The 18,421-nt window shown below is 62.8% G+C and overlaps 1 protein-coding gene across 25 annotated transcripts in view, besides 7 other annotated features; it reads right to left on the reverse strand.

Moving 5' to 3' along the window:
* Window positions 1-18,421, reverse strand: part of SLC19A1 (solute carrier family 19 member 1) — a 60,509-nt gene that overhangs the window by 24,416 nt on the left and 17,672 nt on the right. For 3 of the 25 annotated variants that reach the window (XM_047440963.1, NM_001205206.4, NM_194255.4), the window contains exons 1-4: window positions 15,436-15,508; window positions 10,839-11,076; window positions 4,457-5,216; window positions 3,838-4,039 (exon numbers count right to left, since the gene is read on the reverse strand). In XM_047440963.1, coding sequence (XP_047296919.1) covers window positions 3,838-4,039; window positions 4,457-5,216; window positions 10,839-11,027 — 1,151 coding nt within the window. In that variant the 5' untranslated portion in view covers window positions 11,028-11,076; window positions 15,436-15,508. Of the gene's footprint in view, window positions 1-3,837; window positions 4,040-4,456; window positions 5,217-7,605; window positions 7,825-7,852; window positions 10,438-10,834; window positions 11,077-11,826; window positions 13,902-14,522; window positions 14,915-15,327; window positions 15,395-15,435; window positions 15,509-16,844; window positions 16,930-17,204; window positions 17,415-17,536; window positions 17,706-18,421 lie in introns of those variants that run through there. The other 22 variants (XM_047440964.1, XM_047440960.1, NM_001352512.2 and 19 more) reach the window with 16 other exon arrangements.
* Window positions 283-577: an enhancer, noted in NCBI's record as "tiled region #1559; HepG2 Activating non-DNase unmatched - State 18:Pol2". NCBI's record gives its function as "activates a minimal TATA promoter and a strong SV40 promoter by Sharpr-MPRA in HepG2 cells {active_cell/tissue: HepG2}" and the evidence as "EXISTENCE:reporter gene assay evidence [ECO:0000049][PMID:27701403]".
* Window positions 1,798-1,968: a silencer, noted in NCBI's record as "fragment chr21:46948644-46948814 (GRCh37/hg19 assembly coordinates)". NCBI's record gives its function as "represses an EF-1alpha promoter that drives an FKBP-Casp9 reporter gene in an ReSE screen in phorbol 12-myristate 13-acetate-treated (for megakaryocytic differentiation) K562 erythroleukemia cells {active_cell/tissue: K562(+PMA)}" and the evidence as "EXISTENCE:reporter gene assay evidence [ECO:0000049][PMID:32094911]".
* Window positions 7,260-8,134: an enhancer, noted in NCBI's record as "H3K27ac-H3K4me1 hESC enhancer chr21:46954106-46954980 (GRCh37/hg19 assembly coordinates)". NCBI's record gives its function as "activates a minimal SCP1, AML or CMV promoter by ChIP-STARR-seq in naive and primed H9 embryonic stem cells {active_cell/tissue: H9 hESC(naive and primed)}" and the evidence as "EXISTENCE:reporter gene assay evidence [ECO:0000049][PMID:30033119]".
* Window positions 14,942-15,001: a silencer, noted in NCBI's record as "silent region_13402". NCBI's record gives its function as "represses an Ori minimal core promoter by ATAC-STARR-seq in GM12878 lymphoblastoid cells {active_cell/tissue: GM12878}" and the evidence as "EXISTENCE:reporter gene assay evidence [ECO:0000049][PMID:35858748]".
* Window positions 15,352-15,661: a silencer, noted in NCBI's record as "silent region_13403". NCBI's record gives its function as "represses an Ori minimal core promoter by ATAC-STARR-seq in GM12878 lymphoblastoid cells {active_cell/tissue: GM12878}" and the evidence as "EXISTENCE:reporter gene assay evidence [ECO:0000049][PMID:35858748]".
* Window positions 15,636-16,148: an enhancer, noted in NCBI's record as "H3K27ac-H3K4me1 hESC enhancer chr21:46962482-46962994 (GRCh37/hg19 assembly coordinates)". NCBI's record gives its function as "activates a minimal SCP1, AML or CMV promoter by ChIP-STARR-seq in naive H9 embryonic stem cells {active_cell/tissue: H9 hESC(naive)}" and the evidence as "EXISTENCE:reporter gene assay evidence [ECO:0000049][PMID:30033119]".
* Window positions 15,702-15,781: a silencer, noted in NCBI's record as "silent region_13404". NCBI's record gives its function as "represses an Ori minimal core promoter by ATAC-STARR-seq in GM12878 lymphoblastoid cells {active_cell/tissue: GM12878}" and the evidence as "EXISTENCE:reporter gene assay evidence [ECO:0000049][PMID:35858748]".

An 18,421-nucleotide genomic window follows, 5' to 3' on the forward strand; every position in this document is an offset into this window, starting at 1 on the left:
CTCGAGAAGATACCTGGAAGGGCTCCCATGAGCTCTGGGACAGACCAGGTCACGGGCGTCTCAAAACATTCAGAAAATCATCATCAAGAGAACCTCTGGGCACAGACAGAAAAGTCTAGAATGAAAGTCTTTCACGGTTAAATGTTTGATAAATTAGAAGAGCAGTGAAACCACAGAGTCGGTGAATGAGCAGCAGCCAGGCAGGGCAGGCCCTGGAGTTGAGTGGCAGCTGGGCAGAGCGGGCCCTGGAGGTGAGTAGCAGCTGGGTATGCCCGGGAGGGCCCTGGAGGTGAGTGGCAATTGGGGGGGAGGGGGGCCTGGAGGCGGGGCAGGCCCTGGAGGTGAATAGCAGCTGGGTATGCCCGGGCAGGCCCTGGAGGTGAGTGGCAGCGGGCAGGGTGGGCCCAGGAGGTGAGAGGCAGCCAGGCAGGGCAGGCCCTGGAGGTGAGTGGCAGCAGGTTAGGACGGGCCCTGGAGGTGAGTGGCAGCGGGCAGGGTGGGCCCTGGAGGTGAGTGGCAGCCAGGCAGGGCGGGCCCTGGAGGTGAGTGGCAGTCAGTTACTGCGGGCCCTGGAGGTGAGTGGCAGCCGGGCAGGGCGGGCCCTGGAGGTGAGTGGCAGCCAGTTACTGCAGGCCCTGGAGGTGAGTGGCAGCAGGGCAGGGTGGGCCCTGGAGGTGAGTGGCAGCCAGGCAGGGCGGGCCCTGGAGGTGAGTGGCAGTCAGTTACTGCGGGCCCTGGAGGTGAGTGGCAGCCAGGCAGGGCGGGCCCTGGAGGTGAGTGGCAGTCAGTTACTGCGGGCCCTGGAGGTGAGTGGCAGCAGGGCAGGGTGGGCCCTGGAGGTGAGTGGCAGCCAGGCAGGGCGGGCCCTGGAGGTGAGCGGTGGCATGAACATGTCCAGGAATGAAGGCACCACATTCCTGACATGGAGAGGTGACACGCCAGGCTTCTGGTGCTCTGCAAAGAAACTAGTCTTCCGATGCAGTTCCAATTAAAATCTGCAAAGTGCTTAAAAAAAAAAAAAAAAAAGAACTGGACAAAAAATGTCCTAAAGTTCACCTGAAGAAAAAATAAACAAAAATGCCCAGGAACCCTTTGGAGAAGGGCAGAGGTGTCTGTGCTGCTGGGCACTGGAGACGGGGGGACAGTGGGGACAGTGGAGGCTCGGGGGCAGGCAGGCAGGCCGGCAGCAGGGAGGACGAGAGAAGCACACAGAGGTCCCGGTGAGCAGGTCAGTGGGATGAAGGGCAGACGAACAACAGGGAGAACTGAGCACAAACACGAGCTTCTGGATGCCAGCGCTGGGCAGGGCAGAGCCCAGGCCAGCCCCCAGGGTGCTTCCAAGGACACTCAGAAACACTGTGAGTTGAATTAAAGGCAGACGAGTGTGGGGCGTGATGGGGGCACAGGTGATTGAAAATACATGATACAGATGAATGCTCCCCAGATCAGCAGGGAGGAAAGCGAGTCCCAACAGAGTCAGGAGACACACAGGGGCCACTCAGTCCACAGCAGGCCGGCCGGCCTCACTCTGGTTAAGGAAAGGCTGGGAGCCCAGCCGGCCCGTCAGGGGCTCAGGGAGGGTGGGGAGGCCACTCCACCATCCTGACGGGGAGGAAGCCCGCATGCCGGCCTGCAGGGTACCTGCAATATTGACAGAAACCTGCTTTCAAAAGCACATACTCTCCAACCTGGCCATTCCCCTTCCAGGAATCCACCTGAGGGTCATTATTAGAATTTGGAAACAAAAATGTAGGTAGAAGGGCATTCATCTCAGTGTTTTCCTCGTGTAAGAAAAATGGAAATGGTGACTTTACCCATAGACTGGGGATGGGTTGTAAGGCCCACCACTCATGACCGGGAGTGACCACCTGCATCTGTGAGTGACCATCTGCATCTGTGTCTGGCATCAACCCAACACAGACAAGCAGAAAATGCTGGGATTCCCCGTAGCAAACAGCAGTTTTCTGCTTTGCACGCTGCGGCACCGTGTTGGATTTTTTTGCGATGGGCATCAATGACTTTATAACTAAAACCTTTCAGGCGTTGTCCCCCTGGCTGCAGCAATGGGACAGCACAATGGCAGAGGCCCTGGCCCTTTCCACAGTGCTGGCAGGTCAGTGGGGGGGCCCAAGCAAGATCACGCTGGGCCTTCACGAGCCAGGGACGGCAAGAGCCCAGTGTGGGCCTCGGGGAGCCTGGAGAAGGCGGCCACACAGGAGCAGAAGGGGCCCCGAGTATGGCAGGGGCGGGAGAGAAGGGTGGGCCGGGCTGCCCATGCCGGGAGACTGCTGCCTGCATGTGGGGAGGATGGGGAAGTACAGGGCCGGGCACATCCAGGCAGGATGCTGCAGGGGTGAGGCCACTGACACAGAGGGCCCAATGCAAGGGTCAGGAGGGTGCTCTCAGCTCAAACAGGCTCGTGACCAGCATAAGGCCCAGGGGGATGACCCACGGAGGGAGGGAGATAGGGCTCGGAGGCCACCCTGGAGGGGAAGCCCAGGAAGGGGTACTGAGCTGGGGCCAAAGTCCTCCCAGCGGGCAGGAAAGAGGGGGCAGGTCCAGGGAGCAGGACCCTGTGAGCACACAGGGTCAGTGTCTGAGTGTGTCAGTGTGTGTGGTCTGAGTATGTGGTGGGAGTGTGTCAATGTGTGGGTGTCTCCATGTGTGAGCGTGTGTCCATGTGTGAACGTGTCCATGTGTAAACGTGTGGTGTGTCCATGTGTGAACGTGTGGTGTGTGTCCATGTGTGAGCATGTGTTGTGTGTCCGTGTGGTGTGTGTCCATCTGAGCGTGTAGCATGTCCATGTGTGCTGTGTCCATGTGTAAGCATGTGGTGTGTTCATGTGAGTGTGGTGTATCCATCTGTGAGTGTGTGGTGTGTCCATGTGAGTGTGTGGTGTGTCTGTGTGGTGTGTGTCCATGTGTAAGCATATGGTGCATTCATGTGAGTGTGGTGGGTGTCTGTGAACATGTGGTGTGTCCCTGTGAGTGTGTGTGTGTCCGTGTGTAGTGTGTGTCCATGGGTAAGCATGTAGTGTGTTCATGTGAGTGTGGTGGGTGTCCGTGTGTGTGGTGTGTGTCCATGTGTAAGTATGTGATGCATTCATGTGAGTGTAGTGGGTGTCCATCTGTGAGCATGTGGTGTGTGTTCGTGTGTGGTGTGTCTGTGTGGTGTATCCATCTGTGAGCGTGTGGTGTGTTCATGTGAGTGTGCATTGTGTGTCCGTGTGTGTGTGGTGCGTCCATGTGTAGTGGGTGTCCATGTGTGATATATCCATGTGTGAACATGGTGTGTGTCCGTGTGTGTGGTGTGTTCATGTGCGATATATCCATGTGTGAGTGTGGTGTGTTTGTCCATGTGTGCACGTGTGGTATGTGTTCATGAGTGTGTGGTGAGTGTCCATCTGTGCGCATGTGGTGTGTTCATGAGTGTGTGTGTGTCCATGTGTGAGCGTGTGGTGTGTGTGTGGTGTGAGTGCCTGGTGTGAGTGTAAGCTGAGGATGAACTCACACAGGTGCAAGCTCCCGCTCCTGCCTGGATGGGGTCTCAGCAGCCCGGGGCCTAGAGGGTGGGGTTGGGAGCAGGGCAAGGCTGTGAGCCCAGCAGGCTTCAGAGAGGAGCGTGGAGGGCCTGGGGGAGCAGCAAGACGGCACAGGAAGGGACGCCCGAGGTCCCAGGGAGAGGCAAGTGGGGACCCTGGTCAGCTCCAGGTGGCTGGCGGGGCCAGCAGTGGCACAGCCGCTGGGGCGCAGCAGGAAGGTGGGAGCACCCAGCGAAGCGCGGGGCTTGATCCTGGCGCCTGCCCGCCCCCGGCTTCCCACCCTTCTGGAACTCACGTGGCGATGGGCACGAGGAACTGGTAGGAGCCGCGGAACAGCACGAAGGCCGCATAGCACAGCCAGATGCTGCTCGGGTGGCGCGTGTGCGCCAGAAGGAAGACCAGCCCCGCCTGCGTGGCCGTGACGCCCGCGATGAGCAGCTTGGACCAGCGCGCCCAGCGGATCTTCACGAAGCCCGCGGCGAAGGACGTGATGGCGCCTGAGAGGGGAGGGATGGGGCGTTGCAGCGGCCCTGGGGGGCCACGGGGCAGGGGGAGGTAGCGGGAGCTTCTGAGGAAAGGTATCCACGGGGCAGGGGGCGGGGACGGGGAGCCTCCGGGGAAGGATCCACGGGGCAGGGGGAGGTGGCAGGGAGCCTCCGGGGGAAGGATCCACGGGGCAGGGGGCGGGGAGGGGGAGCCTCCGGGGGAAGGATCCACGGGGCAGGGGGCGGGGAGGGGGAGCCTCCGGGGGAAGGATCCACGGGGCAGGGGGAGGTGGCGGAGAGCCTCTGGGGGAAGGTATCCATGGGGCAGGGGGCGGGAGAGGGAGCCTCCGGGGGAAGGATCCACGGGGCAGGCGGAGGTGGACGGGAAGCCTCTGCGGGAAGAAGCCTCGGGGACCAGGGCATGCGTACCCAGCAGCGTGGAGGCAGCATCTGCCGCGCCGTTGTAGACCCGCGCACTGTTGGTGGTGGGGTCCACCTCGTTCCACAGGATGTGCACGTAGTAGACCACCAGGTAGTAGCCGGCCGAGTTGAAGACCCACCAGAGGGACCACAGGCGCAGCTGCGGCCGCCGCAGGCTGTCCCCCAGCTCCCGCAGCATCCGCGCCAGCACTGAGTCCCCACAGGCCACCCGCAGGGCGTGTCCCAGCTTCCCGCCTGGGCCAGGATTCATGCGCTCCAGCTCCGAAGCCGAGGTTTCGCACCGCCCCCGGTCGTCGCGGTTGAAGAAGAGGCTGCGCTTGGGGCGCTTCAGGAAGAGGGCGAGGACCACGCTGAAGGTGAGGAAGGCCAGCGAGATGTAGTTGAGCGTGGAGAAGGAGACTCGGCCCACAGTGACCAGCAGCTGGCCCAGCACGGAGCTGGTGAACACGCCCAGCAGCACCGCAGCGCGCGAGTAGCCGGCCACACGCTGGTAGCGCGCGGGCCGCACGAGAGAGAAGATGTAGGAGGAATAGGCGATGCGCGCGGCCATGGTGACGCTGTAGAAGAGCTCCATGAGCTGCATGTGCGCCACCGAGTGGCCCAGCAGCAGCAGCAGCCACACCGACACGAAGCTGAGCCCCTGCAGCAGCAGCACCGGCGTGTAGCGCAGGTAGTCGGTGAGCAGGAACACGGGCACCAGCACGGCCAGGTAGGAGTACGACAGCACCGGCGTGATCTCGTTCGTGACCTGCGGACAGGCGGGCGTGCGCCCCACCAGGTGTTAGCAATGCTGCCGCTGCGGCAGACACAGCCCGCCCGAGGTGATGGCTGCTGACGGCTTCCTGCCCCAACACTGCCTGGTGGGACCCCTCTCCCCAACACGCCCCTGTCCCATGTCCCACTGCATCGTCCTCTCTGAACAGGGACCTCTGGCTCCCGACCGTCCCGGCAGCCTGGGAGCGTTCGCCTGCGGAAAGCTGGCAGTGGCCACAGAAGGAATCGTTATTAACAAGCCTGTTCATCTAAGCTTCTCTATTTTTATCTCTTTCTTGGGACAGAGTCTTGCTCTGTCGCCCAGGCTGGAGTGCAGTGGCACGATCTTAGCTCATTGCAACCTCCACCTCCCAGGTTCAAGCAGTTCTCCTGCCTCAGCCTCCCGAGTAGCTGAGATTACAGGTGCGTACCACCATGTCTGGCTAATTTTTGTATTTTTAGTAGAGATGGGGGTTTCACCATGTTGGGCAGGCTGGTCTCGAACTCCTGACCTCAGGTGATCTGCCCACCTTAGCCTCCCAAAGTGCTAGGATTACAGGCACCAGCCACCACACCCAGCCAGCTTCTCTATTTTTAATAGAATCAAAACATGGTTTTATTTCATTTTAAACAATATGGAAAACACAGCTGTAACCCATACACATTCACACCAGCACAAGCTTCTTCCATCCTTCCTGGAGAGAGACAAAAACAGAAGACACAGAAAGGAAGGGCAGGATCAGGGACAGCAGGTTCGTGGGAGGGACTGTTCGTGGGGGAACCCGGCAGGGGAAGAAAGACAGGAAGGGGAAGAAGGGGAAAGAGAGGAAGTGGGGTAGGGCAGAGGGCCCTGGGCTGTGCACTCCCATCTCACACTTGTCCCCAGAGCAAGGTCTTTAAGGCCAGACTCCAACCCAGGAGCAGGGAGGGGGGCAAACGCCCCTGTAGCCGCCCTGCACCCTCCCAGGAGGGGGAGCACAGGCTGTCAGCCTGCCCACCCCCACCTCCTCCATCACATGTTATGTGGGAACCCAGCTCCACAGCCTTGGCCACTGAGCTGCTGGTGGACACTCCAGGCCTGGCTTCCATGCCTGTGGCCTCAACACACATCCACCTTCCATGGGAACGTGGAGCTGGGCACGGGGCTGGGGGTGCTACCTCCTACAGGACAAGGTCAGAGGACACTGCCCCAGACTACTACAGGCAGGCACCAAACGTCCTCAGCTGTCTTGGCAGGGGCCAGGGCTGCTGTGGGCACACCTGGGCACACCTGGGCACAGTCCAGAGGAAGAGGCCCCACCCCTGTGAGGCCAAGCCGCTTGCCTTGCCCCTCCCTGGGGACTGATGTGGGAGCCACCCTATGCTTGGAGCCTCCCCTGGGGCCCAGGTGCATTTTCAGCAGGTGGCCCCGCCCACAGGCCCCACCAGACCCCACCTCAGATCCACTGGAGGTTGGTACCAGATGAGCCAGCAGGGCCCTGCTGGACTCTGGGCCTCCAGCAGGCCCCACCCGACTCAGGCCTGACCACCAGTAACCCCACAGCCCCACTCGTGCTGCCCCAGGTGACCTCAGCCCCTGCCAGCCACACTTGGCAGGACCAAACCCTGGGTCAGCACGTGGGGTGCTGCGCCGAGCCACGCCGCCTCCCCGGGGGCTCTCAGCCTCGTGTCTGGCACACCCAAGATGTGTGGCCCGATGTGCTCAGAGCCCGGCCACCGGCTACTGTGAACAGCTGGGCAATAGGACCCTGCAGCCAGGCCGGCATGCTGAGAAGCTTCCCAGGGGCTCAGGGGAAGGCTGCCCAGAGACCCCACCTCAGGGCACCCTGAGGTCGCACCCTGGAGCCTGCACCCTCATGGAGGCCAGGCTGACCCAAAGGCTGTGGTCCCAGCAGCACCAGGCACCCAAGGTCCCTCCGGCACTCCGTCCTGCTCAGGACATTCCGGGACACTCTGAGGGCAGGTTATGTGCCAGGAGGCTGAGTGAGCCCGCCGGGTCACAGAGAGCCTCAGGGCCAGCCATCGGCTTCTGCACTGTGTTTACAGCAATGTCCTGGGGACATCAAACAGCCCCTCTGTGGGCAAGCTCTCCTGGCTGATGGCCTGCTCGACTGGGGGAGGCTCCTCCTCAGGGCCAGCCCAGGGAACCCCTGCAGATTCCGAAAGAAGCGGCTCAGAGGCAGGGGTCCTCCTAGGACCTCAGGGACCCCCGACCCCCAGACACAGGAGGCTGCGTGGGGGCATGACAGCCCCAGCCCCTGGCCGGGGCACAGGTTCTGCCCACAGCCCAGAGTCAAAATGGTAGACAGCCAGCAGAGAGGCTCTCCCCAGACCCCACGGCTCTCTGGAAAAGGGCGGCCAGGGGTCCTAGAAGCCTCACCCACCTCCGAATGAATGGAGCATGCCTCATTTCCTCTTCCACCAGGAGCTGGCTCTGCAGGCTGGGGCCTCATCAGGCACCTCCTGGTCTTAGTTGAGGGTCTGAGCGCAGAGCTCCCCCTTGGCAGCCACCCAGAGCCCTCCCGCTCCTCTCCCTGCACCTCCTCAACGGCCCCTACTCCCTCTTCCTCAGCCTTGGCAGGCAGACAGCAGGGAGGCTCTGCCCAGAGCTGTGACCTGCGTCCCACTTACAAGGCTGCTGGGGGAGGGGCCCTCACAACGGTCCCAGCAGGGAGGTGGCATCTGTCAGGCGGCCACGACTCTGACACGAGGACAGCCTCCTGCTGCCTGAGCCCAGCGTCGGCCCTGCTCTCCACAGGTCTTGGTTGGGGTCCAGGCTGAATGGGCAGAGTGCAGGCAGCTGCGCCCAAATCTACGTCCAGACGGCCTCAGGGCGGCTTCTCTGAACAGGGAGGCGGGAAGGTGGGCAAGGCCCGAAGGCAGGCAGGACGCGAGGGCAGGGCCAGGCGTGGGGCAGCAGGACTGGATGCCACAGAAGGGCACCCAACAGGGGCTGGCTGGGGACGGGGCATGGGCCGCAGGTCAGGAGGGACTGCTGTGCACAGGGTCCTGGGCCGGGGGGTCTCCCTGGAGGAGGGCGGGGGCTGCAGCTCCCACCACACAGCACAGTTCCAGCGGGGGCCCAGGCAACCTCAGTGCACCCAGGAGCACCTCACGGACTCGGCCGGGGAAAGCGCTCTCAGCTGACACTCAAAGCAGAAACCCTGGAGGGAAATTTGGCCAAATTCAAAATGACTCCAGAGAAACACCGTATGTAACACACAACCAGTCCAATCCCAAGGGCACGGGGTCCCCAGGAGGCAGAAAAGGGAACCAGGTCCGAGGAGGACAGCAACCACAGGGCTGCCAGGAAACACTGGCCCACGGCGGGAGAAATGGCGGCAGAGCAAATGTGAGCAAAGGAAACCACGCTCCTCACAGCGGCCAGACGGCCGGCGCTCAGCAGCCCACCCGAGCTGGTGAGGGGAACGTGGGCAGCCCGTGGCAGGCTGCAGAGGAAGCAGCATTCGCCCCAGGAGTGAACTGGAAGTGCCAGCCCGGGCCAGCTGGGTCAAGGCCCACTGCCTGAGGCTGCCAGCTCGTGCTCTACCTGCAGCCATCACCTGCAGTGGGAGAAGCCGGAATCCCCTAATCACCTCCAGCAAAGCAGCAGATAAGCACCTTGTAGTTCAACCCAGGAGGCGCAGCTTAAGAACAGCCTCGAACCCACGTGGAACGTCTCTCAAGTCAGATTGGGCAGGAGAGCAACTTGCGAAAGCTGGGTCACAAGACACCACTTACGTGAACTTCCTAGACACAAGCCTGGCAACAACAGGGGCTGGCGAGTCCTGGCAGGCTGGGCCTCCCTTGCCCCCGAAGCTGCTCCCCGCCCACCTACTGGTGGCTGCCCCTGCACCCCGGCGCCCACGTGCCTGCTCCCGCGTGAAGTTCTTGTCGGGCCCCAGGAGGGAGGGCGTGATGAAGCTCTCCCCGGGCCTCTCCTGCAGCCAGAGGGGCTGAGATCGGGGGCCCCACCAAGTGGCAGGTGCGCAGAGCACCTGCACCCATCGTCCCTCTGATGATATCCAAGGCCTGGTGGAATGGCTTAATTTCTGGAATCTACTTTTTAATCCGTTAATGTACAACATGAGAGGGCAGGCAGATGGGATTTAAACATTTTTGCTCTAGAGACTTTTCTTATTTTGTTATTTTAAGGGAAACGCCACACATAATGCTCACCCCTATAAATAACCTTGGCGGTGGACAGTGGCCCTCCACTAAGAGCAGAGATGCCATCTGGTCAGTGGGTGGCAGGGAGAGGGACGGACTGGCCAGGAGCAGAAGGCATTTCATGAGGGGTCAAGGAGATGGCTCCGCCGCTCCAGCCCCAGCCCCGCCACCGACAGCCGGAGCCAGGGCAAGACCCTGTCCTCGCCTAGAAAGTGACCCAGCCTGGCGGTTAGCAGTGCTGGCCGTGGGACGAGACACAATCACACCGCACGGTGCTCTGAGCTGGGCACGCGGGAAGGGCAGCACCTCCACTGTCCCAATAGCACACTCCTCAGCTGCACATCAGTTTCACAATTCTAGGGTCTGGGAGGGTTGGGGTCCGGCTTCCGGCCAGGAGACACAGGGAACAAGAGGCATGCCGAGCGTCAGCCATGTGGGAGCAGAGGACGGGGTCAGCGGCTGGGATGGGCAGGTGAGCAGGCCCAGGGCCCTGGGATGGGGTGTCGGGGTGACCAGCTGGGCCGGCAGCCTGTGAGAGCGCTTTTCCAGGCTCTTCCTGTGCAGATGTGCCTTATGGACAAGGACCCCACAGCTCCAGGAGGAAACTGCTTCGGATACGGCCGCTCCCGCCTCCACCGCTCATGTGACCTGAGAGACCCGTGACTGGGCATAAGCCTATTAGAACAGTTTCAATAAGACCCTTTGTCCTCATGGCTGAGTAAAATGAAAATTCCTTCAATAATCTCTTTAGGTAAATAGCCACTAAGTCTCTGTGGAAGGCAGGTGCCCAGCAGGGTTGGACGTGGGCTTCCTCACCAGGAGGGCCGATGAGCACGGCCTGGCGGGTGGGGTGGGGCAGGCTCTCTCTCTGCAGGACACAATATCACTTTTTATCTAGCCTGGTTACTAGGCCGAAGCCAGGCCCCTCCATCTGATGGTGCCCGCTGCTGGGAGTGTGAGACCCCAGCCGGGTTCCCTCCAGGACCATATTATCAGCTGACACGGCCACTCACCCGCTCCAGCCTCAAGTGCTCACACATCCAACAGGAAAAGCGCCCTGGCCCCTGAAGCTGCTCCCCGCCCACCCATAGGCGGCCGCCCTGGCACCCAGCACCCACGTGCCTATTCCAGAAGCTGCTCCCCGCCCACCCACAGGCGGCCGCCCAGCACCCCGGTGCCCACATGCCTATTCCAGAAGCTGCTCCCCGCCCACCCACAGGCGGCCGCCCGGCACCCCGGCACCCACGTGCCTATTCCAGAAGCTGCTCCCCGCCCACCCACAGGCAGCCGCCCTGGCACCCAGCGCCCACGTGCCTATTCCAGAAGCTGCTCCCTGCCCACCCACTGGCGGCCGCCCCCGCATCCCGGCGCCCACGTGCCTATTCCAGACGCTGCTCCCCGCCCACCCACCCACAGGCGGCCGCCCGGCACCCCGGCACCCACATGCCTGCTCCCGCGTGAAGTTCTTGTCGGGCCCCAGGAGGTAGGGGGTGATGAAGCTCTCCCCTGGCCGTATCTGCGCCATGAAGCCGTAGAAGCAAAGGTAGCACACGAGGTGCCGCCAGGACCGGAGCTCGGGGTCAGGCCCAGGTTCCACGGGCACCTGCTTCTCCACCGCTGGGCTGGAGGGCACCATCCTGCTCAGGCCACGTGCAGCTCCGGAGGGGACGAAGGTGACGCTGTGCCTGGAAGGAGGGGTGGAGTCAGGGCACCTTGGAAGATGGTCTGCAGGCCTCCCTACCCCGCAAAACGAGGCCCAGTGCCGGCCTCCTCGCCACTCAGGACCAAACGCCACCCTGGAGACGAATGCAGACCCCAGACCCATCCTCACCCCGTAGCACCAAACTGGGAGCCACCCACACCTGAGCTGCTCCGGAGTCCCCCAGGCCAGGCTGTCACCACCTCCAGGGTCTCCGAGGCTGAGGGAAGTCTCCAGCCACATGGAGTGATTTAAGTGCCAATCAAAACCAAGTTAATTAACTAATTGACTTACTTTATTAACTAAACTAACAAAATTTAGGGTTTGGGGCCACACTAGACTCATGGCACTGCTGGGCAGTACCTGTGGCGGTCAGGGGGCACACCTCACCCCACAGGCCTGAGGGCAGCCCACGTGCCTGCTGCTGCTCTAGCGGCACCCAGGTGGCCCAGGGAGGGCACAGGCAGGAACGGACGCTGCTGGAGGCCGGGGTCACACCACAGGTGGCCAGCGGCGGGTGGCTGCAGGTACCAGCCTCAGGTCCCCATCAGCCGCGTGCCCTGGCAGGAGGGCGTGCAGGCCAAGCCCACAGTGAGGGAAGGGCAGAGGGAAAAGCAGGTGTCCTTGAGGGGGCTGAGAGCAGCCAGGGTTGAAACACGCGTGGGAGGGAGGATGGGATGGAGCCGAGGCCCAGCCCCTGAGCCCAGGGACCCCAGCATCCCCGGCGGCAGGTTACCCTAGACGAAAGCAGCTGGCAGGAGCCATGAGTGGACCTGACACGTTCCAGATGGAGCACCCCAGACCACAGGACTTCATCCACGAGGCAACATGCACCCAACCTTGGGGACCATCCCGCCAGCACCCCCGCCCCACACGGCCAGGGCACGTGGTGGAGCAGCAGCAGCACGAAGCACACTCGAGGGCGTGTCTCTTTCAGTCCTGATTCTGCCCAGGAGAAAGGCTCCTCCGGTGCGGGCAAGGGCACGTCTCACCACCACAAATCGTGCCTTTCAGCTGCGGGGCAAAAGCCTGTCCACTTATCAGAATCATGTCTCCAGGTGCCACGTGGCCCTGGTTTTCCATTAAGGCCTCGGTGTAAAGTTCTCCTTCAAGTAAGTCAAAAGTGAACTGCCATAAACAAGTGTGTCAGACGCCCACACCAAGCCAACCCCGTGAGGCCAGGACCTGGCCCTGGTCCCCCACAGGTGCACCTCACGTCTGTATCAGCTGACCTCTGCTCCCGGAGGCCAGGCCTGGCAGAGTGCACGTGGAAAGGCCATCTGCTGCTCAGGTGGGGTGGGGATGCAGCGCATGCAGAGGGCAGCTGAGCAGCCTTGTGGGGCGGGGTCGCCGTCCCATCTGCACTGGGCTGACAGTTGGACAATTGTGCCTCGCCACAGGGCCGGCTTGGGAGGGTGGCAGGGGGTCTGCAGAGGGTCTGGATTTGAGAAGTCTCCTCCAACCCTCCAGCAGGGGCTCAGAGCATCCCTCGATGTGGGGCCAGCTTTGGGGGTCCAGGGACCCCTAGGAAAATCTGCCCCAGGCTCTCAGCATTCAGTCTTCACGTATCAGAGACCACTCAGGCTGGAAGTGCTCCCTGAACCGCCCCCAACCTGACACACAGGCTTAGGAAAAAGGTGGCCTTCAGGGACCAGAGAGAGAGACCCTCCCCAGGCCACTTAGGCAAAGCCATCAGCATCATCTGGGGTCCCGTCTTGACACCTCTACACACTCATGTCTGTGACAAAGGAACATAGGTGATGGCAGGGAAGCCCTTAAGAGGCAGAGGCTGGTGGGCTTGCAATGGGGGCCGCAGGGAAGAGGGGGAAGGGTTAGGGGAACCTCGAGGTTTCCGGAGCTCCACGGCAGGGCACAGCTGGGAAGAAGATGGGACCAGCACCCTCCATTGGAGGCAGCCAGGACCCTAGAAGTTCTCAAAGGGCCAGGATGAAAACAGCCGGCCAGGCAGGAGGAAGCGCAGGCAGGGGCCACTGCCAGGCCGAGGCAGATCTGACGGTCGCCTGCCTCGGCCTCACCTTCCATGCCTCCTCAGGGCCTGTCAACAGCTGGGAAGATCAGTGCACAAAGGTTGGGCTCCATCACCAGGGACCCTGATGCCCAGAGAGGCCACGGGTAGAGCTGGACATACCTCAGACCGCACCCACTCCTCCCCACTGGGAGACCCATTTGGCCCTGGGACTCCCTGTCAAGTTCACTTTCCCACCTGTCAGCAGGTTTAGACAGGCGCACCGATCCCCAGACAACCAGAGCAACCAGATCGCCGCAGACAACGGGGAGCCATCAGGAGCTGAACTAAGCCCAGGGTCTGCGCCCACAGTCCATGGCCGCAGGAGTCAGATCCCCACCCACAGGACCCCCAGGGGCCCGGGAGCCCTGGGTACTTGGGCCCCCTGTTCTGAAAGGTGCCACCTCCAGAAGCGACCAGAACATTCCTTCCTTGGAGAGACAGCCAGAGTCTCCGCCAGCAAGGGGCTGCTGCTGGTCTTAACAGTCAGCCTCTGCTGCCAGCATACTCAACTTATGTGCCGTGAACGTAGCCCACTGACAGAGGCTTGGCCATCACGGCCCAGACCACCTCCAAGAGGAAAGATAGGGAACTTGGTCACCATCATAGAAACGCAGCCCCAAGCCAGGGGACGCCTAGACTCCAAGTGTCCAGACCCCAGCCCAGTCCCATACAGCTTGAGGCCTCTTCCCGGCATCTGAAGGAAGTCCCCGACCAGACAGGAGGGCCACGGGGAAGCAGAGAGAATCCCTGCCTTCAGGAGAAGGTTGTAACAGCCCCTGCAAATCCCCGGCCCCACTGTCCACAGTGACCAGCCCCACCCAGGCCCTGTCCTTCCAAGCACCAGAGAAGGCCAGAGACCCGCAATCAAAACACAAGCAAACGCCACCTATCATTCCGTGTTTAAACCAGCTCCTACTCTGGAAGGCTAACCAAGAATGTTCGTTATGTTTTTTAGAACGCCTGCTAGTTTAAAAAGAAGAAGAAGAAAGCATTGCACACCCTCCCACCCCTGTTCAGATGACCAAGTTCAGGGTTCCTAACAGCATAATTAGACCCTCCGGCTATCACTGCTGCAGGCCCAAACACCCGAGAAGCACTCTTTCTCATCTGTGTCCAGCAGAGATAACTGTACTATCTGGAATTATAAAAATCCACCAAAGCCCCTTCGGAAAGAAAGCAATTAGCAATTGCAACAAGCAGTGCACAGGTGGCACCCAGGCAAAGGCGGCCAGTGAGATGCAGCCTGGCTCCCAGGCCTGGACAGGGCAGGCAGGTGCACTGGGCCAGAGGCACCTCGGCTCTGCTGATTGAATCTGGGCTGTGCGGGGATCCTCGGGTCTCCGTAGGGGGAGGCCACCTCTTTACAGGGCGGCCAACAGGCGCCTCCAAGGACTTTATCCCACCTTCCCTCTGGATGCATTCTGGATTTCGGGGCCAGCTTAGTTGGCCTGTGTCCTGAGGCCAGGCAGGCCAGACTCCCCAGGACAGGAGTTTCCGATGGACAGGACCCTAGGGGGATGGCTTTCCTGCTGTAGCGGTGTTGGAAGGACCCACTCGGGAAAGGCTCCAGCGGCTGTCCAGGCTCTCTCTGAGACGCCTCGGGATTGCTCCGCTGGATCCGCACCCACAGCTGCTCCAAGGGGAAGTTGCACCTACAAAGCTTCTGGCACAGGAGACAATGGTCTGGAGATGTGCCAGGGGCCCGCCCCACGCGTGGCTGGCAGGGTTCACCCACCGGCTGGCCCGTCCCGAAGCAACACGTGCCTGGGCGCGAACGCCGGATCCACGCTTTCCTCCAGACCCGGGGGTGGGACTTGGCGCCCCAGGATGACGCGGAGGGCAGGCTGGGGGCCGGGACTCCCCACCCCATTCGCAGGCTGCGGCGGAAAGCGAGCGGCGGGAAACCCGCTGCACAGCAACGGTTCTGCCAGGCGCCCGGGCCACCGCGACCCCCGCGGAGACCCCGGCCCACGCCCCGCACCCTCCCCAGGGCCCCCCAGACCCCAGGCTGCAGACCGCAGACCCCGGCCACGCCCCGCACCCTCCCCAGGGCCCCCCAGACCCCAGGCTGCAGACCGCAGACCCCGGCCCACGCCCCGCACCCTCCCCAGGGCCCCGCGGACCCCAGGCTGCAGACCGCAGACCCCGGCCCACGCCCCGCACCCTCCCCAGGGCCCCGCGGACCCCAGCGCCAGCCCCCACACTCACCTCACAGGGCCCTGCAAACCTCGGCCCGCGCCCCGCACTCACCCCAGGGCCCCGAGACACCCCGCAGCCCCCGACACGCGGCCCCGTGGCCCCGTTCCCCACCGGTACCTGCGACTCGGCGGGGCGGCTGCCCTGGGGCTCCCGGACCCGGCCCCGCGCACGCGGACTCCGGGACTACAGCGCCCACAAGGCGGCGCGGCGGGCGCGCGGCTGCGGGGTGGGCGGGTCCGTCCCGCCGAACGCGTCCTGAGGGCGGGGCCTCGCGCGTGGCCGGGCGCTGCGGCAGGAGCGTCCCCACGGGGCACCCTCCCACCCACGGCCGTCTCCCAGCCCCGGCGCCGGCCTCTCCCCACCCGGTCACCGCCGGGGTCACGCGGCCCCTCGTGCTGCGGCCCTACCCCTGGGGCCGCCCCCTGACCCCGACCGCCCCTCGGGCCCCCACCCCCGCCGGCGTCAGCATCCTGGGGTGCCACTCGCGGAGGTGTCGGTCCCTCGGGCGGGCACCCTGCCATCCCTCTCCCCCGCGTTCTTCCCACCCCCGGTCCCCTCCTGACCCCCCCTCCTCGACGAGGCCTTGTGCGTTTTCCTTTTGGCACCCTGGAACACCTGCATTCCTGGCCGCAAGCTGGATCCGGGACGCGGGTCGGGCCCACGCGCCCTCAGGGGTGGCCCTGGGCCGCCTTCGTGGGGCTCCAACAGGGACACGCACAGCCTGCTCTTGGGGACCGCACGGCCCCGAACTCGGCGCCCCCGGGACCCCGCCGCCCGCCCTCCTGCCTGACCGTGACCCGTACGGGCTTGTACCAAGGAGCAAGCCGGATCCAGGACGTGGCCCGGGGCCACCAGTCCCCATCCCAGCAGGGACAGCCCGGGGGAGACCCGCGCAGGCCTCGCAGACGGCAGCGCAGTCACACTCAGGAAGGGGGGCCTGGGCCACTCTCCCAGGAAGGCGTGGGGCTGCGGCAGACAGCACCGCCGAAAGCCCAAGGCCTGTGCAGGACACGGGGAGAAGTGGGGGGCCTCAGGGTCACTTTCCCCTGGAGTTACCCAGGGCCTGGCTATGGGGAGGGAAGCCAAGCCGAGGGCTGTGGGGGCCCCAAGGCTAAGGAGGAGCCAGGAAGTCCACTGCACAGAACAGAAGGGGACGGCCACCGTGGTACCCACAGCTCAAGAGTGCGGGTCCCAGGCGAGGGGTGAGTCTGGGGCAGCAGCCCCTGGAATGTACCCCTTCCGGAGTGTAGACAGCACAATCCGCGACCTGCCTCCTGGTGTTGCGGGGGTGCTCTTGGTCTCCCGCCCACCAGCAGGGCAACCCCACCAGGAAGCCAACACAGGGCCCTTGCCCTAAATGGCCGCCTGCCCAAAGCTCTGGCCTGGGCCTTCTTTCCAGAGTCCTGAGTGTAGCAAGCCACACGAACAAATCTCAAAGGAACTTAAAAAGGATTTGTTGGCTGGAAATGGGGGATCTGGGGTAGCTTGCAGAATTTAAGGGAACACTACAGGATGGAGCGCCTCACCTGGAGGGACCCCCTGCTTTGTGGGAGCCCTGGCTCTCTCCCCTGTACTGGCCTTCTCCACGGGTGGGCAGAACCTGGCCCTGCTGGAAGACAGGAGGGGCAACGCGGAGGAGGAGGGGCCCTTCCTTCCCTCCAGGCAGAGAGGAGCCAGCCATGGGGCCAGCTCGCCAGGGCAGCCTGCTCCCTTTACACGCAGGACAGGCCAGGAAGCCGAGGGGAAGTGGGGATGAACAGCAGCGGGGCTCCTAGACCCCTTCCCACAGAAGGATGGCTCCCACCCCCTTCCCGCCTGGAGACAGCAAGGCAGGGAGCCACAGCCCCAAGGGGACCCCGCAGGACCCACAAAGACCAGTCCCTCACCTGTCTCTCCGGTCAGGTGTAGCCGAGCGAATCCGCCCCCGGCCGCGAGGGGCCTGCCCAAGCTGCCCTCGGGTCCCCCTGCGTGGCAGGAGTCCTGGGAGTTCCCCAGCCACACAAGGCCCAGGTTTCCTGCAGGAGCTGCTTCGGAGTGGGGAGGTAGGGCTTCTGCCACCAACAGCACTTGGCAGTTGTAATCTAGAGGCAGCTGCTCTGAGGGAAGAGCCAGGAGACTCGTGAAGAACTTACAGAAACCTCCATTGAGGACTGCGAGGAGTGGCCACAGACAGTGGGGCGTGGGCTTCCAGAGGGCTCCACCCAAAATAGAGATTTACAAACGCAGGTGACTTGGGAGTGACACTGGCATCTGGGAATGGATCCTGTGCTTGGGCCCTCACGAGCCTCCAGCGGTCCCCGTCCTTGCGTGTTTCATTATCGGTTTGTCAAATAGTTAAGTGCCTGAGCGTCAGGGATGGCAGGGAGAGCTGGTCCCTGGGAGAAGCCCTGGGTTGGAGGGATCAGCAGGGGCCCAGCAGTGTGGATCCCGGCCCTCCAGCCTGTAGGCTCCAGCCATATACAGTGATGTCTGGGGGCTGCAGGCCGCAGAGACCCCTTCCCCTCCTGGAGGGGCTCAGGTGGGCTCTGCAGCCCACCCCACAGCAGTGCCCCATCCCCAGCTCCTGGGCCCCCACTCCCCGGCAGCCTTAGCACCCATAGTCCAGGCCCAAGAAATCTCTGCCAGAGAATGAGGACCCTGCCCACCCACTGCCTTCTGAGACCAACCGGCCAGTCCTCTGCCTTGGCTGGAGAGACGCAGGGCTGTCCCTGTGGTTAAGGTCCCCGTCAGCATAGGGAGGCAGTGGCATTCGAGCAGCCCTTTCCCTCAGCTGGTGCTGTTGTGGTGGCTGTGGCTCTGGAAGCAAGGCTTGGACCAAATGCTAATACATGGACACACATGCACAGAGACACACAGATCCATGCAGACGTGCAGAGACGTGCACATGCAGATGGACACAGACATGCGCAGACACGCACACACACTGATGTGGTTTGGATTCTCTGTCCCCTCCAAATCTCATGTTGGAATGTGATTCCCAGTGTTGGAAGTGGGGCCTGGCGGGAGGTGTTGGATCATGAGGACGGATCCCTCATGAATGGCTTAGCACCATCACCTTGGTGATGAGTGAGTTCTTGTTCAGTTAGCTCACTCAAGAGCAGGT

This window comes from Homo sapiens, chromosome 21, assembly GCF_000001405.40.
Source record: "Homo sapiens chromosome 21, GRCh38.p14 Primary Assembly".
In the NCBI taxonomy this organism is placed as follows: Eukaryota; Metazoa; Chordata; class Mammalia; order Primates; family Hominidae; genus Homo; species Homo sapiens.